The sequence below is a fragment of the Homo sapiens genome, chromosome 12 (assembly GCF_000001405.40).
Source record: "Homo sapiens chromosome 12, GRCh38.p14 Primary Assembly".
NCBI classification, from domain to species: Eukaryota; Metazoa; Chordata; class Mammalia; order Primates; family Hominidae; genus Homo; species Homo sapiens.
The window spans coordinates 68,628,530-68,644,021 of NC_000012.12; the positions used below are offsets into that span (position 1 = coordinate 68,628,530).

General features: G+C 37.6%; 1 protein-coding gene and 1 pseudogene across 6 annotated transcripts in view, besides 2 other annotated features; one reads left to right on the forward strand and one right to left on the reverse strand.

Annotated features, from left to right (window-relative positions):
- The window catches only part of RAP1B (RAP1B, member of RAS oncogene family), a 61,003-nt gene that overhangs the window by 17,631 nt on the left and 27,880 nt on the right, over positions 1-15,492 (forward strand). The gene's annotated exons all lie outside the window — the stretch shown is intronic.
- Positions 7,923-8,042: an enhancer, noted in NCBI's record as "active region_6641". NCBI's record gives its function as "activates an Ori minimal core promoter by ATAC-STARR-seq in GM12878 lymphoblastoid cells {active_cell/tissue: GM12878}" and the evidence as "EXISTENCE:reporter gene assay evidence [ECO:0000049][PMID:35858748]".
- Positions 12,627-12,756: an enhancer, noted in NCBI's record as "active region_6642". NCBI's record gives its function as "activates an Ori minimal core promoter by ATAC-STARR-seq in GM12878 lymphoblastoid cells {active_cell/tissue: GM12878}" and the evidence as "EXISTENCE:reporter gene assay evidence [ECO:0000049][PMID:35858748]".
- ATP5PDP4 (ATP synthase peripheral stalk subunit d pseudogene 4) lies at positions 13,916-14,509 on the reverse strand (annotated as a pseudogene).

The following is a 15,492-nucleotide window of genomic DNA, read 5'->3' on the forward strand; positions in this document are numbered from 1 at the left end:
AGAAAATTTAGCAAAAACTTTTCAAAGGGATATTTATGTGAAGAAAATGAGTGGTATCCTTGTGAGAGAAAAGTACAAGAATGAGACTGGGGCAAACTGCTTTTCCAGAAATAAAGAGGCCCTGATGGTGTCACTTTTGGTAGATCCAAGCTTTTCATGAATATTGAAGCTCTGGATGCCTTGTTCAGTAGTTTCATAAGCAAAAATCCAAAAGTGTAGAAAGAGTTTTAATTGAAATTAAATAAAATCAAAATTTTAGTTTTACAGTTACACTAACCACATTTTAAGTCCTTGATAGTCATCTGTGGCTAGTGGCTACTATACTGGACAGTCCAGATAGAACACTATCATTACAGGAAGCTCTATTGGACAGCACTAGTCTGGATTCTAATCCTAAATCTACAGTCTTGTGGTTCTGCAACCTCAGGTAAGTAATCTGAATCACAAATCCTTTATCTCTTTTTATTTATTTATTTATCTTCTATCTGTCTGTCTGTCTGTCTCTGTCTATTTTGAGACAAGTCTCACTCTGTTGCCCAGGCTGGAGTGCAGTGGTGCAGTCACAACTCACCTCAGCCTCCTGAGTAGCTAGGGCCACAGGCATGCACCACCATGCCCAGGTAATTTTTTGTAGAGACAAGGTTTCACAATGTTTCCCAGTCTGGTATCGAACTCCTGAGCTCAAGCCATCTACCTACCCCAGCCTCTCAAAGTGCTAGGATTACAGGCGTGAGCCCTTGTGCCCAGCCAAATCCTTTATCTAAAGACAGTACCTTATTTTCATTGTTGCTCTGAAGATTGAAATTTAATATATGGAAGGACATGGTAAGAGCTTTAAAAGCACCATACAGACATGTCAGTGTTCAGATTAGAAATATATTTATTGGTTAACAAAGGATTTTTCTAAAATAATCTGAAGAGAAACTTCAGAACCTCAGTGGCATGAATACTTTGATGTTAGACCGTGTGTATTTTAACCACTTGAAGAATCTAAATGCACAAAATTAACAGATTAGATTTTCATTTTAAATGTGAAATATATTTTACCCAAGCTGTCCTTTTCAATTTTATCTATAAATCTTAAAGTTTTTATATGTACTGGGGGCTTACCTTCTTGCTGTAGGTTCCCTTTATATATACTGTTTTATCATCCTCATGAATGATCTTAAACAACTCAATCTGTTAACTAAGTGAATAATGTACCTGTCACATAGAGGTATTGAATGAATGTTATAAATATGATAGCTATCTATGCCAGAAATCGTTGGTTTTGGTAGACAGACTTCAGCATTCAGCACGATCATTCTCAGTAATTCTTTATAGGTGTTTTGATTTGTTTTGAGGGGGTTGTTTGGCATATATTTTGCAACTAATTAATTCATTTTTGTAAAACCATCAGACAACAGTGCTAGATGTTTAAAATATTCTACAGCAGAAATTTTCAAATGTTTTTGGAATCATTAATACAACCCTGTCTCTCCTTCACTTAAACCACAGTAGCCATTGGTAATTGAGAACTAGATTCTTTCCCTTTGAGTCCTAGTTGATCTCAAAAATCATTCTCAACACTGCACTTAGCTACAGGTAGCTGTTAATATTTTGAGTTGATGACTAAGCTGAAACCCATTTGCCACCTGTGAGTTAATGGGCAAGGTCTATCCTTGTCTCTTCCAGGCTCTAGCCTATAGTGCAAGTGTTGGCAAACTTTTTCTGTAAAGGACCTGATAACTATTTTAAGCCTTGTTAACCATACAGTCTCTTATCACAACCATTCACCTCTGCTATTGTAGCCTGAAGCCAGCTGTGGACAAGACACAACAAATGAACTATGTTCCATTAAAACTTTATGAGTGTGACTGTGTTCCAACAAAATTTTATTTACCAAAAAAAACAAAAACAAAAAAACAGGGAGCAAATGGGATTTGGCCTGGGAGTTCTAGTTGGCCAACCTCCCCTCTAGGGCAAGAAACTGGTTTTGATTCATTCAACAAATAATTAGGTGTCTTCCATATTCCAGGCACTGTGTTAAGTTTTGATTATATAGCAATAATCATTACACGTAGGCCCCAGGTCATGAGGTATTTAACCCTTAACTGAGTATGGTTTTGGGGCTTTTTGCTTTTTTGGTTTTGGGGTCTTTTTTGTTTTTGTTTTTTTGTTTTTTTCAAGGCAGGTTCTCACTCTGTCACCCAGGCTAGAGTGAAGTGGCGCTGTCACAGCTCACTGCAACCTCAACCTCCCCAGGCTCAGGTGATCCTTTCACCTCCCATCCTCCCGGGTAGGTGGAACTACAGGCGCAGGCCACCACGCCTGGCTAATTTTGTGTATTTTTTTGTAGGGGTGGGGTTTCGCCTTGTTGCCCAAGGATTACAGGTGTCAACCACCGCATCCAGCCTGAATTTGTTTTTTTTTTCATGTACTTTGGCAGATTCGAAGTACTTTTTTGAGGGAAAAATGGAGTCTGCCCCATACATCTGCTTTATTTGTTAATACATGTGAGGTTGTAGGCAAATACCCTAAGTGCTATGTTCTGTGATAGTGGTATAACTAAATGTAACTTCAATGTGCCTTAGATATTAGATGCCATGGTATCAAAATTAATATCCTGTTATAAAAAATAGGGAAGCAAAAATGTTTGCATATGATACCTACCCTGGCTGCACATAGCAGATACTTAATATCCATATAATATTGAATAAAGCTGAAATTACCAGTTTCTTAACTATCCTTATGTCACTTTCTTGCAGTTTCTTCCATTTGGTATGCTATTTCTGACCTCATTTTTTGTTTTTCGCCAAAAAATTACCACATATTACTCATATTTTAATGAAATGCTTACCATGCCTAGATGTATTGTTCAGCCTTCTACTGTTAGAACTTCTTTCGTTAATTTAAAAGTATCTTTAGTTTTCTCAGTATTCATGTTTATCTTCAAAATGTCTATTGTTGTTGCTTATTAAATGAGTCAGAGCTCTTCACTGATACTCAGAGATCTCCTTAATCTTAACTGAAGATTACTGCTATTTTTATTTTCCTATTCCTTTGTGCCCTGTGAGCCAGTCAGACTGCTTTTTCCGCTATAGTCTAATTAATGTTCCCATGTTATGCTGCCTTTTGTGCCTTTGCTCTCACTTTTCTTATCCCTGGTATGTTCTTTCCTGTTGAAATATTGTAACTTTTTTTTTTGCCACCCTCTTCATAAATCTGATCTCTCCTTCTGAACTCCCATAGTATTTTGTACATCTCATGATATTTTTCATATTTTTATGTCTCCATCTTTTCCTACAAAATTGTAAGCTTTTTGAGAGCAGGTATGTTTTGTCCATCTTTCAGAATATGAAATAAGAAGCAAATTCCTGTCAGAACATATTCCACCTAAAATGGCCAACCATTCTTGTTTTCCCAGGATGGAGAGTTTCCTCAGACATGAGACTTTCCGTGCTTAAACCTGGACCGTTGGTCACTCTGATTCCACTTCATGATGTAGCCATCTTTTTTGCATATCAGTGCTTTACTGCAGGTTTTTTTTTTCTTTTTCTTTTTAAAGAATAAACACATAAAATGAACATGAAGGAAACAGTTTTTTGGGTTTTGGATTTGTTTTTTTTTTTTTTTTGTTTGTTTTTTTTTTCCAGACTGTTTGGCTGTCACCCAGGCTGGAATGCAGCCACGGTCTCAGCTCACTGCAACCTCCGCCTCCCAGGTTCAATTCTTGGGCCTCAGTCTCCTGAGTAGCTGGGACTACAGGTGTGTGTGAACATACCCGGCTAACTTTTGTATTTTTATTAGAGACAGGGTTTTGCCATGTTGGCCAGGCTGGTCTCAAACTCCTGGCCTCAAGTGATCCTCCTGCCTCAGCCTCCCAATGTGTTAGGATTACAGGCATGAGCCACTATGCCCAGCCAAACAAAAATTTTTTTTAATTAACAAAGCAAAATTACTTGTGCCTTTTAAGCAAATGTTTGGAAGATTATACTCATATGTAGAAATGTAAAGATCAGATTCAGATGATAAAAAAGGCCAAAATGTGGGAAAATTTTGACTAAAGTTGAAAAAGAATGATGTCCTTTTCACAAGCAGAGGGACTCTTCAGTAGGTTTGGTTTATGGTTAGTAGACACAGTTTTTTTTTAGAGTAGACCCTGTAAAAGAATGTGGAGTAAATGGTGGCAGTGGTTTGACCACAACAGTGGTGTCTATTGCTAGAGAAATTAAAAATAAGATATAAGATACTTAACTCTCCTTTTTACAAAAGGCTTCAGATAAAGAGGAAATGGGAGCAAATCCAGAGATTATAGGCACTGTATGGGCTAATGATTTTTTTAGAGATGATGCCTCACTATGTTGTCTAGGCTGGTCTGGAACTCCTGGCCCCAAGCAGTCCTCCCACTCAAGCAAGACTGAAGTAACTGGGACTATAGATGTGAGCTATCATGCCCAGTTGGCAGGCGATTTTTATATGTTATGGTTTATTGTACAATACAAGCTATTCACTGCGTGTTTTATTGTGAGAAGCTCACTAAGTTAGAAAGGTTTTCAGTTTTGTGCAGTATTTTTTTCTGTTCCTATTTCTATTTCTCATAAGCTGGGAAAAACATCATCAGAGTTCATTGGGTGACATCTTACATCTAAAACCTTAAAACTAAGTTGAGATTTATTATCACAAAATAAATTCCCCCATACCTCCACTGAACCCCCCACCACCCATGACTTGATGACTTCAATCATACTCATCCCGTTCCCCAGAGCGCCCTCACTTTCCAAGTGAACTCCCCTATTCCCTAATGATTTATATATCCACTGGTCTGGTTTAAGTATCCACTTAGGAAGCCTTGCCTGGTAGTTCTTTATAGATAGACAATTGTTCTCTTCTCTGCATCCACAGCAAGCACTTTATTCTGTAGACCCTGCTTCATTGTGAGCTAACACAGCGCAAACACTGTGAACATTTTAATTTATAAAACAGAGTGTCTTCTGGGCTTTAATATGTAGTTGTCACATTTGCTTTTCCTCAGATTTCTGGGCCACATAACCTCTGTCACAGTTAAAACTAATATCTCGGCTGGGTGCGGTGGCTCAAGCCTGTAATCCCAGCACTTTGGGAGGCCGAGGCAGGCGGCTCTTGAGGTCAAGAGTTTGAGACCAGCCTGGCCAATGTGGTGAAACCCCGTCTCTACTAAAAAATACAAAAATTAGCCAGGCATGGTGGCGTGTGCTCGTAGTCCCAGCTACTCAGGAGGTTGAGGCAGGAGAATCACTTGAACTTGGGAGGTGGAGGTTGCAGTGAGCTGAGATCGTGCCACTGCACTCCAGCCTGGGCAATACAGTAAGACTCTGTCTCAAAAAAACAAAAAAACTTAACATCTCTAATCTGGTCATTGAAATTGAGGTGTAAAGCAAATTAATGTTTTCTCGTTGCCTCTTGTATCCTCCTCTTCCCGTGTAAGAAATAATAAGGCCCAGTATAAGGTAGTGGAGTAGAGAGAATGGAATTGATTCCAGAAATACCAAGGTAGAATGAATCAGACTTGATAATGGAGTGAAGAGAGAAGAATCCATGACAACTCCCAGGTATACAGCTACCTATTAAAATAATATGCTATTGAAGTCCTTTAGGTGTCTTAAGCACTATAAACACCTAGATAGATATAATTTTAAAAAATAGCAAATTAACATTTACTGGCTACTTCCTATGTGTTACTCATTGTGCTACACATTTTGCATAGGGTAAGTTATTTCATTTGAATCTTTAAGAACTGTAAGAAGTAGATACTTTTATTTCCATTTTCAAATGAGGAAATGAGACACAGTTTAAAATAACGAGACCAAAGCCACTCAAGTAGAACTGATTCCAACCCAGACAATGGGATCTAAAGCCTATACTGAGTCAGTATGCATCCCTGTAGATTTTACTGCTAGTTCAGATGACAGGGAAAAAAGGACATTTTTTTAAGTCACATCTAGAGAATTGGGAGCAGGGAGGAGTTCTACACAAATACAGCCTATTTGGAAAGATCTGATAGAAACTAATAAGGTGATCTTGAGCCTATATTATTATTTTTTTTTTTACCTGTTTTTGAATTGTTGGTCTCTCCTTTTTTAAAAAATCACTTAACTATTTTGCTTATCTCTTGACTCGGCTGAGAAATCTATTAAACTGGTTCTTCTGCATTTGTCAGATTGTTGATAAATTGTTACCCTCTATTCTGTATTCTACCATACATGATCAAATACTGAACTGAAAAGGTAACTATAGAAATAAAGCTGGAAAAGCTAACCTTACGTTGCATGTCAAATTATATGTTGTTGAATATTTCAGGGAGAAAGTTGGTGTGATTAATTGAAAAAACTTGATTTACTAGCAGTATTAATCCATGAAAAGGGCAAGGGAATTTTTTTCTTTCTTGAGGTATTATAAATATGATCAGAATAGAGAAAATGCTATACACAGTTTGATAATCTACAAATTTTGCACTTTCTAGATTTAGAAATCTTGTTCACAGGAGATCTTTCTTGGCAGAATGAGTAAGATTGGAAACATTTTCCATGTGTCCTCATTATGAGAGAGGCAGACAACTCAAAGTAAATATGATAAGCAGTCTTCATTTTAGCAGCTTTCTATTTATTTTATAGTTCCTTGTTAGAAGTTTTATTTTTAAAAGAGGGTAGGAGAGGCAGTGTTTGGGCCCCTTATTTTTTCCTTCAAAAAGAATTTTTAAAGTCTGTCATTGTGTTAAACAGATTCATAACAGGTCCTTCTGACAGTTGAATTAGTTGATTTTATTTGGGAATGAGAAAAGGACACAGTTACCCTCTTTAGCTGTTAAAGTATTACTTTTGGAGTTGGAGATGGAAAGGAGAAATCAAGTATCTTCTCTTCCAGAAAGTGCAGTGGGAGAAGTAATGTTACCTGACTTCAGGAACCAGTATTTAAGGCCTCTTTTTTTGAGACAGAGTCACTCTGTCACCCAGGCTGGAGTGCAGTGGTGCGATCTCGGCTCACTGCAACCTCCGCCTCCTGGGTACAAGCAATTCTCCTGCCTTAGCCTCCCTAATAGCTGGGATTACAGGCGCCCGCCACCTCACCCAGCCAATTTTTGTATTTTGGTAGAGACGGGGTTTCACCATATTGGCCAGGCTGGTCTCGAACTCCTGACCTCAAGCAATCCACCCGCCTCGGCCTCCCAAAGTGCTGGGATTACAGGCATGAGCCAGCGTGCCTGGCCTACTTAGGCCTGTTTTTATAATTTAGGGTCACAGAATTTCAAACTGGGGTTAGGGGGTGAGTGTAGTAGTTAAACAACTTGAGATTGGAGAACTGCTTTTGCAAAATTTCCATTTTGGTTATACCCATGAAATTTTTTTTTTGTTACGAAGTCTTGCTCTGTAGCCCAGGCTTGAGTGCAGTGGCAAAATCTCTACTTACTGCAAATTCCGCCTCCTGGATTCAAGCGATTCTCCTGCCTCAGCTTCCTGAGTATCTGGGACTACAAGCGCCCGCCACCACATTCGAGTATTTTTTTTTTTTGTATTTTTAGTAGAGATGGGGCTTCACCATATTGGCCAGGCTGGTCGCAAACTCCTGACCTCAAGTGATCTGCCCGCCTTGGCCTCCCAAAGTCCTGGTATTACAGGCATGAGCCATGACAGTCAGCTATTTTTTTTGGCATATTTTAAGGGACAGAAATTATGCTTTTTAAATGTTGCTTATTGCTTTTCAAGGATTTGATTCTTATAAGCTACTTCTTCATTTATTAATGAGATTTAAGAAAGAAATCAGGTTACAAAGTTATGAGCAATTGTCTCTGGAACCCAGAAGTTGGTTTTAACACTAGAGTTTCTGCTGCAGGGCATTTTTACTGGACTGTGATTCCTAGAAGGCAAGTATAAGCACTGTTTTTTTGTTGTTTGTTTGTTTTAGAAACAAGTTCTTGCGTCACCCATGATAGAGTGCAGTAATGCAGTCATAGCTCACTGTAACCTCCAATTCGTGGGCTTAAGTGATCCTCCTACCTCATTCTTTTGAGCAGCTGGGACTCTAGGCATGTACCACCACACCCAGCTACTTTATAAATTTTTTGTAGAAGTGTGGTTTTGCTGTGTTGTCCAGAATAGTCTTGAGCAGTCTTCCCACCTCAGCCTCCCAAAATGCTGGGATTGTACAGGTAGGTGTGAGCCACCATGCCTATCCCTGCTGTTTTTTTTTGAGACGGAGTCTCTGTTCAAGCAATTCTCCTGCCTCAGCCTCCGGAGTAGCTGGGATTACAGGTGTGCACCATCATGCCCAGCTAATTTTTGTATTTTTAGTAGCGATGGGGTTTCACCATGTTGGCCAGGCTCATCTCGAACTCCTGACCTCAGGTGATCCACCCACCTCAGCCTCCCAATGTGCTGAGATTCCAGGCATGAGCCACCACACCCGGCCTGTCCCTACTTTTTTTAATGCCAAGATTTGTGTATTTCATCTTCAGTTGGGATTCATGGCATCTGTCAATAATTGATGTGAACTTAAATGGCAATTTACCTATAAAAAGATAACTTACTACTCTTCTTTTAAAAGTCTATATACTTCTGTCATTTGCTGGAAATGAATTATTAGTCTTTATTCAGCAAACATTTATAGACCAAATAGTGGGTACCAAAATAAGTACTACCCTGCAGCTGCTTGATGATGGTAATAACTAACATGTAAATCTTTAATAAACAGTGTACATTCTTAATCTGTCCATCAACTCGGTACAGTCAGTATTGTTGTCCGTATTTCACAGATTAAGACACCAGCCTAGAGGCCGAGTGCAGTGGCTCACGCCTGTAATCCCAGCACTTTGGGAGGCCCAGGCGGGTGGATCACCTTAGGTCAGGAGTTTAGGATAAGCCTGGCCATCATGGTGAAACCCCACCTCTACTAAAAATATAAAATTAGCCAGGTGTGGTGGCACGCACCTGTAATCCCAGCTGCTCGGGAGGCTGAGAGAGGAGAATCAGTTGAACCAGGGAGGCTGAGGTTGCAGTGAGCTGAGATCACACACCACTGCACTCCAGCCTGGGTGACAAGAGTAAAACTCCATCTCAAAAAAAAAAAAAAAAAAAAAAAAAAAAACAAGATGCCAGCCTAGAAATAAATGACCACCCCCCTGGTAAATTACGTAGCTAGTTTTGGTCTCCTTATTTCCAGATTTCATGTTTTATCACCCTGAGCTCCAAAGATGATACAGTATTTACTTTTAAGTGTATAAGGAAAAACTGAGTTTGGGCCTCAAACCAGCCCCAGGATTTCTTTATTTACCAATTATGAACTAGCCTCACTCAGTTCAGGAAGTCTCTTAAAATGTCAGTTATTTGGTTTCATCTTCTTAAAATGTAGAATTGCTTTATGTTATTTAAATATGGGTCCTTTTTTTTAATGAGTTAATTTGTTTGCTTTTCAAGATAATTTTGGATTCAAAGTTTTTAAGGTAACCTGGGATGCAAATTTTGCTAACTGGATTAATACAAATTTAAGTTTTTAAAATTCCATTGTTCAACTGTGTTTTATCCTGGATAGGATTAAAGCAGTCTTTAAAGGTAATCTGTTGTTGGCTTTAATGTTTTATAGTACAGTCTGGTGACACTTGGCTCACTAGTCCACATTTTTTGTATATTTGGTATATAGATTTTTTCCTTGGTAGTCACTTGTTTTTAACTTCTTTTTATATTTTACTTCCCAGTCTTAATCTCTGTAACCAATTTGTATAATCCCTTATACAGTTAGTCTCTTTATTTGTGGTATTATTTGAAGAGAAGTGTGTTTCCTGAGAGAGGATGTCATGTCCGTGCCCTAATTTTTAGTTACATGGCTTTTATTTGCATAAATAGCATGCGAGAAGGTAAAGGAAAATGTGGTTGCATCTTGTCCTGGTTGAGTGCCCACTAGTCTTAATGGATTTTCCCAGTTGTGCATACTTTAGGAGTAAGGATGTTGTCTTACGTTTATTTTCACTCCTTTTTAAAATGTGTATTGTTTTTGAAAGATAATGACTCCAAAATATCTATAATATCAAACAACCATTATGAAGTTAGAGAAATAATATTTAGATTATATTAAATTTTATTACCAGTGCAATTTATTTTTTTATAGTAATTAAGGAATCTAACTTTTTTTTGTTTTTTGAGACAGAGTCTCACTCTGTATGCCTAAGCTGGAGTGCAGTGGCGCAATCTTGGCTCACTGCAGCCTCGGCCTTCCAGGTTCAAATGATTCTCCTGCCTCAGCCTCCTGAGCACCTGGGATTACAGGCATGCACCACCAAACCCGACTGATTTTTGTATTTTTTAGTATAGACGGGGTTTCACCATGTTGGCCAGCTAGTGTCGAATTCCTCACTTCAAGTGATCTGCCTGCCTCGGCCCCGCAAAGTGCTGGGATTACAGACATGAGTCACCACGCCCAACCTAAGATGCTTTTAAAATTCCATTTATGTTTAATTCTTCAAAGTCTGGTACATGTAACATTATTATAACAAAACATTTTATAATTGAAAGGGACTTTAGGGATCTAGTCGAGAAGTCAAAAACTGCTGGACCAGGGTTCAGAGCTCTTATCTCTCAAATTGATTTTGTTGGTTTATACAATATTCATAATTTTTAGAATTCAAATGACTTTACCCGTAAAGCATTCACTCCCTACTTGACCACAGTCTATGTTATTACCTAATAAGACCTTAACTGCTTCAAGCGTTTACATGGTTACCTGGCTGATGTAAGTCATCTGAGTGTTCAGTATTTCCCCTTTCCCTCATTCCATCTTTTTGTAGACAAGGAATCTGGAAACCAAGAATTAAGTGATTTATCTCAAAATATACGACTTTTTAAATAGAGCTTCTTAAATTCAAAGTTAATGTTACTTTCTACAGCTTGTTGTCTCCTTAGAAAATAGTACAAGGTAATACGTAATCAAGTCCTAAAGTATTTGGTATAACTTGTCATGAAGGAGAATGATCACTGTGGGCTGAGTTAGTGCAAGAATGCTTCAGAGACATTTCCTTGACACTAACCTCCTAAGAACTGCATCTTGAGATATGCTGCCCTGATCTGTGTTGTTTTTGCTACACAGCTGAGGAAAAGAGGTACATATCCTCCTCTAAAGAGCTGGCACAGGAACTCACCAAAGGGCATTTTGTACATATTGAAAAACAGCACCTCATAAGACCAACTACATTTAGACTTCTCCAGAAATCCCATTTATGCCCCTTTTTGCAGAGGAAGGGGCTGGATTGACTCCCAAATCCAAATTTAACTTCAGCCACAAACTAATTAGCATGTCACCCCACCAAAGATTTTTTTTTTTTTTTGGGAGACTGAGTCCTGCTCTGTGCTAGGCTGGAGTGCAGTGGCACAATCTCAGCTCACTGTAGCCTCTGCCTCCTGGGTTCAAGCGATTCTCCTGCCTCAGCCTCCTGAGTAGCTGGGATTACAGGCATGCACCACCACAACCGGCTAATTTTTGTATTTTTAGTAGAGATGGGGTTTCACCATGTTGGTCAGGATGGTCTCCATCTCCTGACCTCGTGATCCACCCACCTCAGCCTCCCAGAGTGCTGGGATTACAGGCATGAGCCACCATGCCCGGCCCAAAGATGATTTTTTAAATGCTCAACAGGACAAAGCCTAATGGTAGTCTTTTGTTAAAAACAAAATTTAATATCAATCCATTGACAGGACTCTTTGTGTACTGAGCTATATAGTAATTTCACCTTAATAGAAGTTCTTCATAACCACCCCATATAAAACCATCCATTCTTATCTCTTTTTTTTTTCTCCATACTGCTTATCACAGCTGACACTTTATACTGACTTTGTTTCCCCCTCTATACCCTTTACTCCAGATTATAAATTCTGAGGACAGGGTCTTTCTTTCACTGCTTTATATTCCCACTGCCTAGAATAGTGCCTAACATATATTAGGTACTCATTATATATTTATTGATGTCAAATATTGATTGCTGTATTATAGTAGTGTTAATGGAAGGTGTCATTTCTTAGATTTTCTTTTCTGACCAGCACAGTTCTTGGGTTGATGGAGTATGTCCTCAATAAATCTCAGCATCAAATAAACAAGAATTTTCTTTTTAATACATAAATTTGTCATTTTGTTACGCTTTTTAGTTTCCTCAGTGATTTTTTAGAATAATTCTTGTTCATAATTTGGATCAGTAATATCTACAGTTGAATCTTAGGAAGAATGTTATAGGCAATCCAGAATGTTGGATAATTAAATCAGTTATTTGCATTTTGATGTGTAATATAGTGAACACATTTAGACAAAAAAAAAGCTACCCCATAAGACCAGTTTTTATTTTCTTTGATTCATGTCTTCAGGATTTTCTGTTAACTCAGAATTATTATAGCATTCATTATTGTTTTGTGAAAATACTAGTTAATAATCTCCGGTTAATGAAATAATTATCTTAGATAAATTTACTGAACTTAATGTAGAATATGTTTTTTGTTTCGTTTTGTTTTTGAGACAGGGTCTCACTTGTCACCCAGGCTGGAGTGCAGTGGCACAAACATGGGTCACTGCAGCCTCGACTCCTGGGCTCGAGTGATGCTCCCACCTCAGCCTCTCAAGTAGCTGGGACTACAGGTGTGTGCCACTACACTTGGCTAATTTTCATATTTTTTGTAGAGACGGGGTTTCACCATGTTGCCCGGGCTGGTCTTGAACTCCTCCTGAGTTAAAGCAGTCTGCTTGTCTCTGTCTGCCAGAGTGCTGGCATTATAGGCATGAGCCACCACCCCCTTCTTCCACTTTCATTTCAAACAGTTATGAAGCAGCCACTGAAACCGGACTCTCGACAATGCCAAAGGAGGTTTTGTTTTCTTGTCTTTCCATGTCTTTGCTGTGGTTTGCTCTGAAACTAGAATTAAACAGCTTTTTAAATTGATAAAAAAGAACCAATGCAAATAAAACTACGGTCTGTAGAGTAAATGGAAAAAGTTGTAGAAGTAATAATAAACTACTTTTAAACAAATGAGTAAGGTAGTAGATATTTTGCAAGAAGTAAATAGCCAAGTGTAAAAGCTGTCAGTTACTTTCATCAATCAGGTTAGTTGCAGTCACGCAAATTTTAGGTGATTATATAAGGAACTCAAATTAGGAATCTTTAAATGTAAATGACCTAATACTAAAAACTACCCAAAAAATATATTCAAAGATAAATAGAAGAAATACTTATGCATTTGAAAAAATCGATGCATTCCACAGTTCCTCTGAATCAAAGGTAAAAAAAAAAAACAGTGTAGAAAATACTTTGAACAGTAGTGGAATTTTTAGTATTTTGATAGCTTTCTTTAGAAATTTAATTGATTTTCTTCATCTGTAATCTTAGATTGTGTTGGAGAGGCAGTGTGAATCATGCATAAAGTTTATAATTGTGTATGTGCCTACATGATGTAGAAATTGCACCTTTTGGCTGATGAAGTATCGTATAGTTGCACTGTTGATAACATTAAGTTCATTTCGCATATATGCTACAGTCTTTTCTGTTTAACGCGTTGAGTAAAATGAAGATCCAGGAGTCCCTCATTAGTTGGTATAATTGGTTAATTCATAGACTAAAGATGAATACAAATGTACTACATTTGCAGATTAACTCATACATAGGCATATTATTGTTAACTAGCAATTCTTAACTGTACAGATAGTTTCAAACTGCATCCAGTTTTTACAAATAAATGCTCTTGTTTATAAGGAATACCATAAAGAGAGCACATGTAAATGAAGAAAATCTTGTCACTTATACTGGAAATTCAAGCGAGAATGATATTAAAAAAAAAGTTGTTAAAGGCAACACAAGAAGTTAAATGAAACTGAGTTAGCAATGAGAGATATTGGCTAATTTACTGTGCCTAAAATTATGGTGCTATTGGTCTACTGTATAATTATTATTTTTAATGTCCAGAATGTGTAATACAAGGGCCAGAACTTCCTCCTGGACTCAATTTTATAAATTCTCGATTAGTTGGTGAGGCCAATAAGGATACTTTTTCTCGTCTAATTTGGTTTCTGGGAAAGCTTCGTTCAAGTCCTCAGTGGTCATCTGATCAAATGGAATTAAGTTCTTCATCTTCTCCATCTGTTTCTCATATTCTACAATCCTGGCCTTTGAGAGAGACACCCACTCAGCACAAGATTTCACATCTTTTTCTTCGGCATCCACCTGCGCAGTATATTTATCCTCTGGCACGGGAACCTTCAGGGCATTAAACTTCTTAAAGTCATCCACCAAACCGGCCTTGGCCACGTTGGCCTTGTAGTAAGCCCAGTCGATAACCGGTGGATTCTCAGGTAAAGCAGCCAACCTGGAGGTGAGGGTCTCATTCCAGGATTTCAGGAAACTAGCAATGGCCTTTTGGTTCTGGGGTATGATCTCTGCAAAAGCTACTCAGTCAGTGGTTTTTAGAGCAAGTTTTCGCCCAGCCATGTTGGGATTCTTCACCGACCCTGGCTGCCCACGGTCCACTGCAGCCGCCTTTAACTTCTTGAAGGTTGTTCATCTTAAAATTTCTTTCAGAGTTTTTCTGTTGATTATAGTTTTTGTTTTTCTTCCAAAATCTCTTCACTTTAAATGGTAGTACATGGCAGTAATACCTTCTAATAGTCAGAACTCTTAATAATTTATAATATCAGGTATTCTAGTATTACTTCCTATCCTCTTTTTGACTTAATCCTTATTTTCTACTGATGTACAAGTAGTTAAAAATGAGCAAGCTTCTCAGAATGTAATCATTTACTTGTGGCACACCAGTTAAAGTACTAACTTAAGTCCTTTGCTACCATATTTATCTTTTCATTCTAGATAAATTTTTTGCTTGCTAATTGTAAATATTGCATTGATATAAGATAGGTATTTAAAATGTCAGTATTTACATTGAGTATTTCTTTTTCTATAAAGCACTTAAAATATATTTAATGTTGTAATTTTCAGTAGTTAAGCATCTCTTAGTCCTTTTTGAGAAGTGTTTTCTGAGAAGTAATTAAGACTTAAAGAATAGAATTAAACTTTAATTGATTCTTTTATGCTTACCTGTTTGTTTCTTTAAAAAGGTACCCTCACCATTAGTTTATTAATCCAGTACTTTTCCAACATCAATATTTTATAGTTACTCTATGAGTTGAGTGGCTAAACTTGGTATTTTTGAGTTTTCTAAAGTCTACTTCTTAAAAATGCCAGTAATTATCAGCATTCTTATAATAATATTGGGGTAGTTATAGAACAACTTCACAATTCCTCTGTTAACTTCAGTTTTTGTTTCATTTGTTTTATAATTTTTTCTATTTATTAACAATAGAACTGTCAGGAAAAAAAATAAGCAAAAGGAAAAGAAAATTCCCTATCCCCCCACCTTGTCATGTATTTTTTTTCTTTTTTTTATTCCAGGGAATTGAAATTCATTTTCTATTATAATCTCAAGATTTTTTCCGTACTCTTGAGGTAATGTAATAATGAGA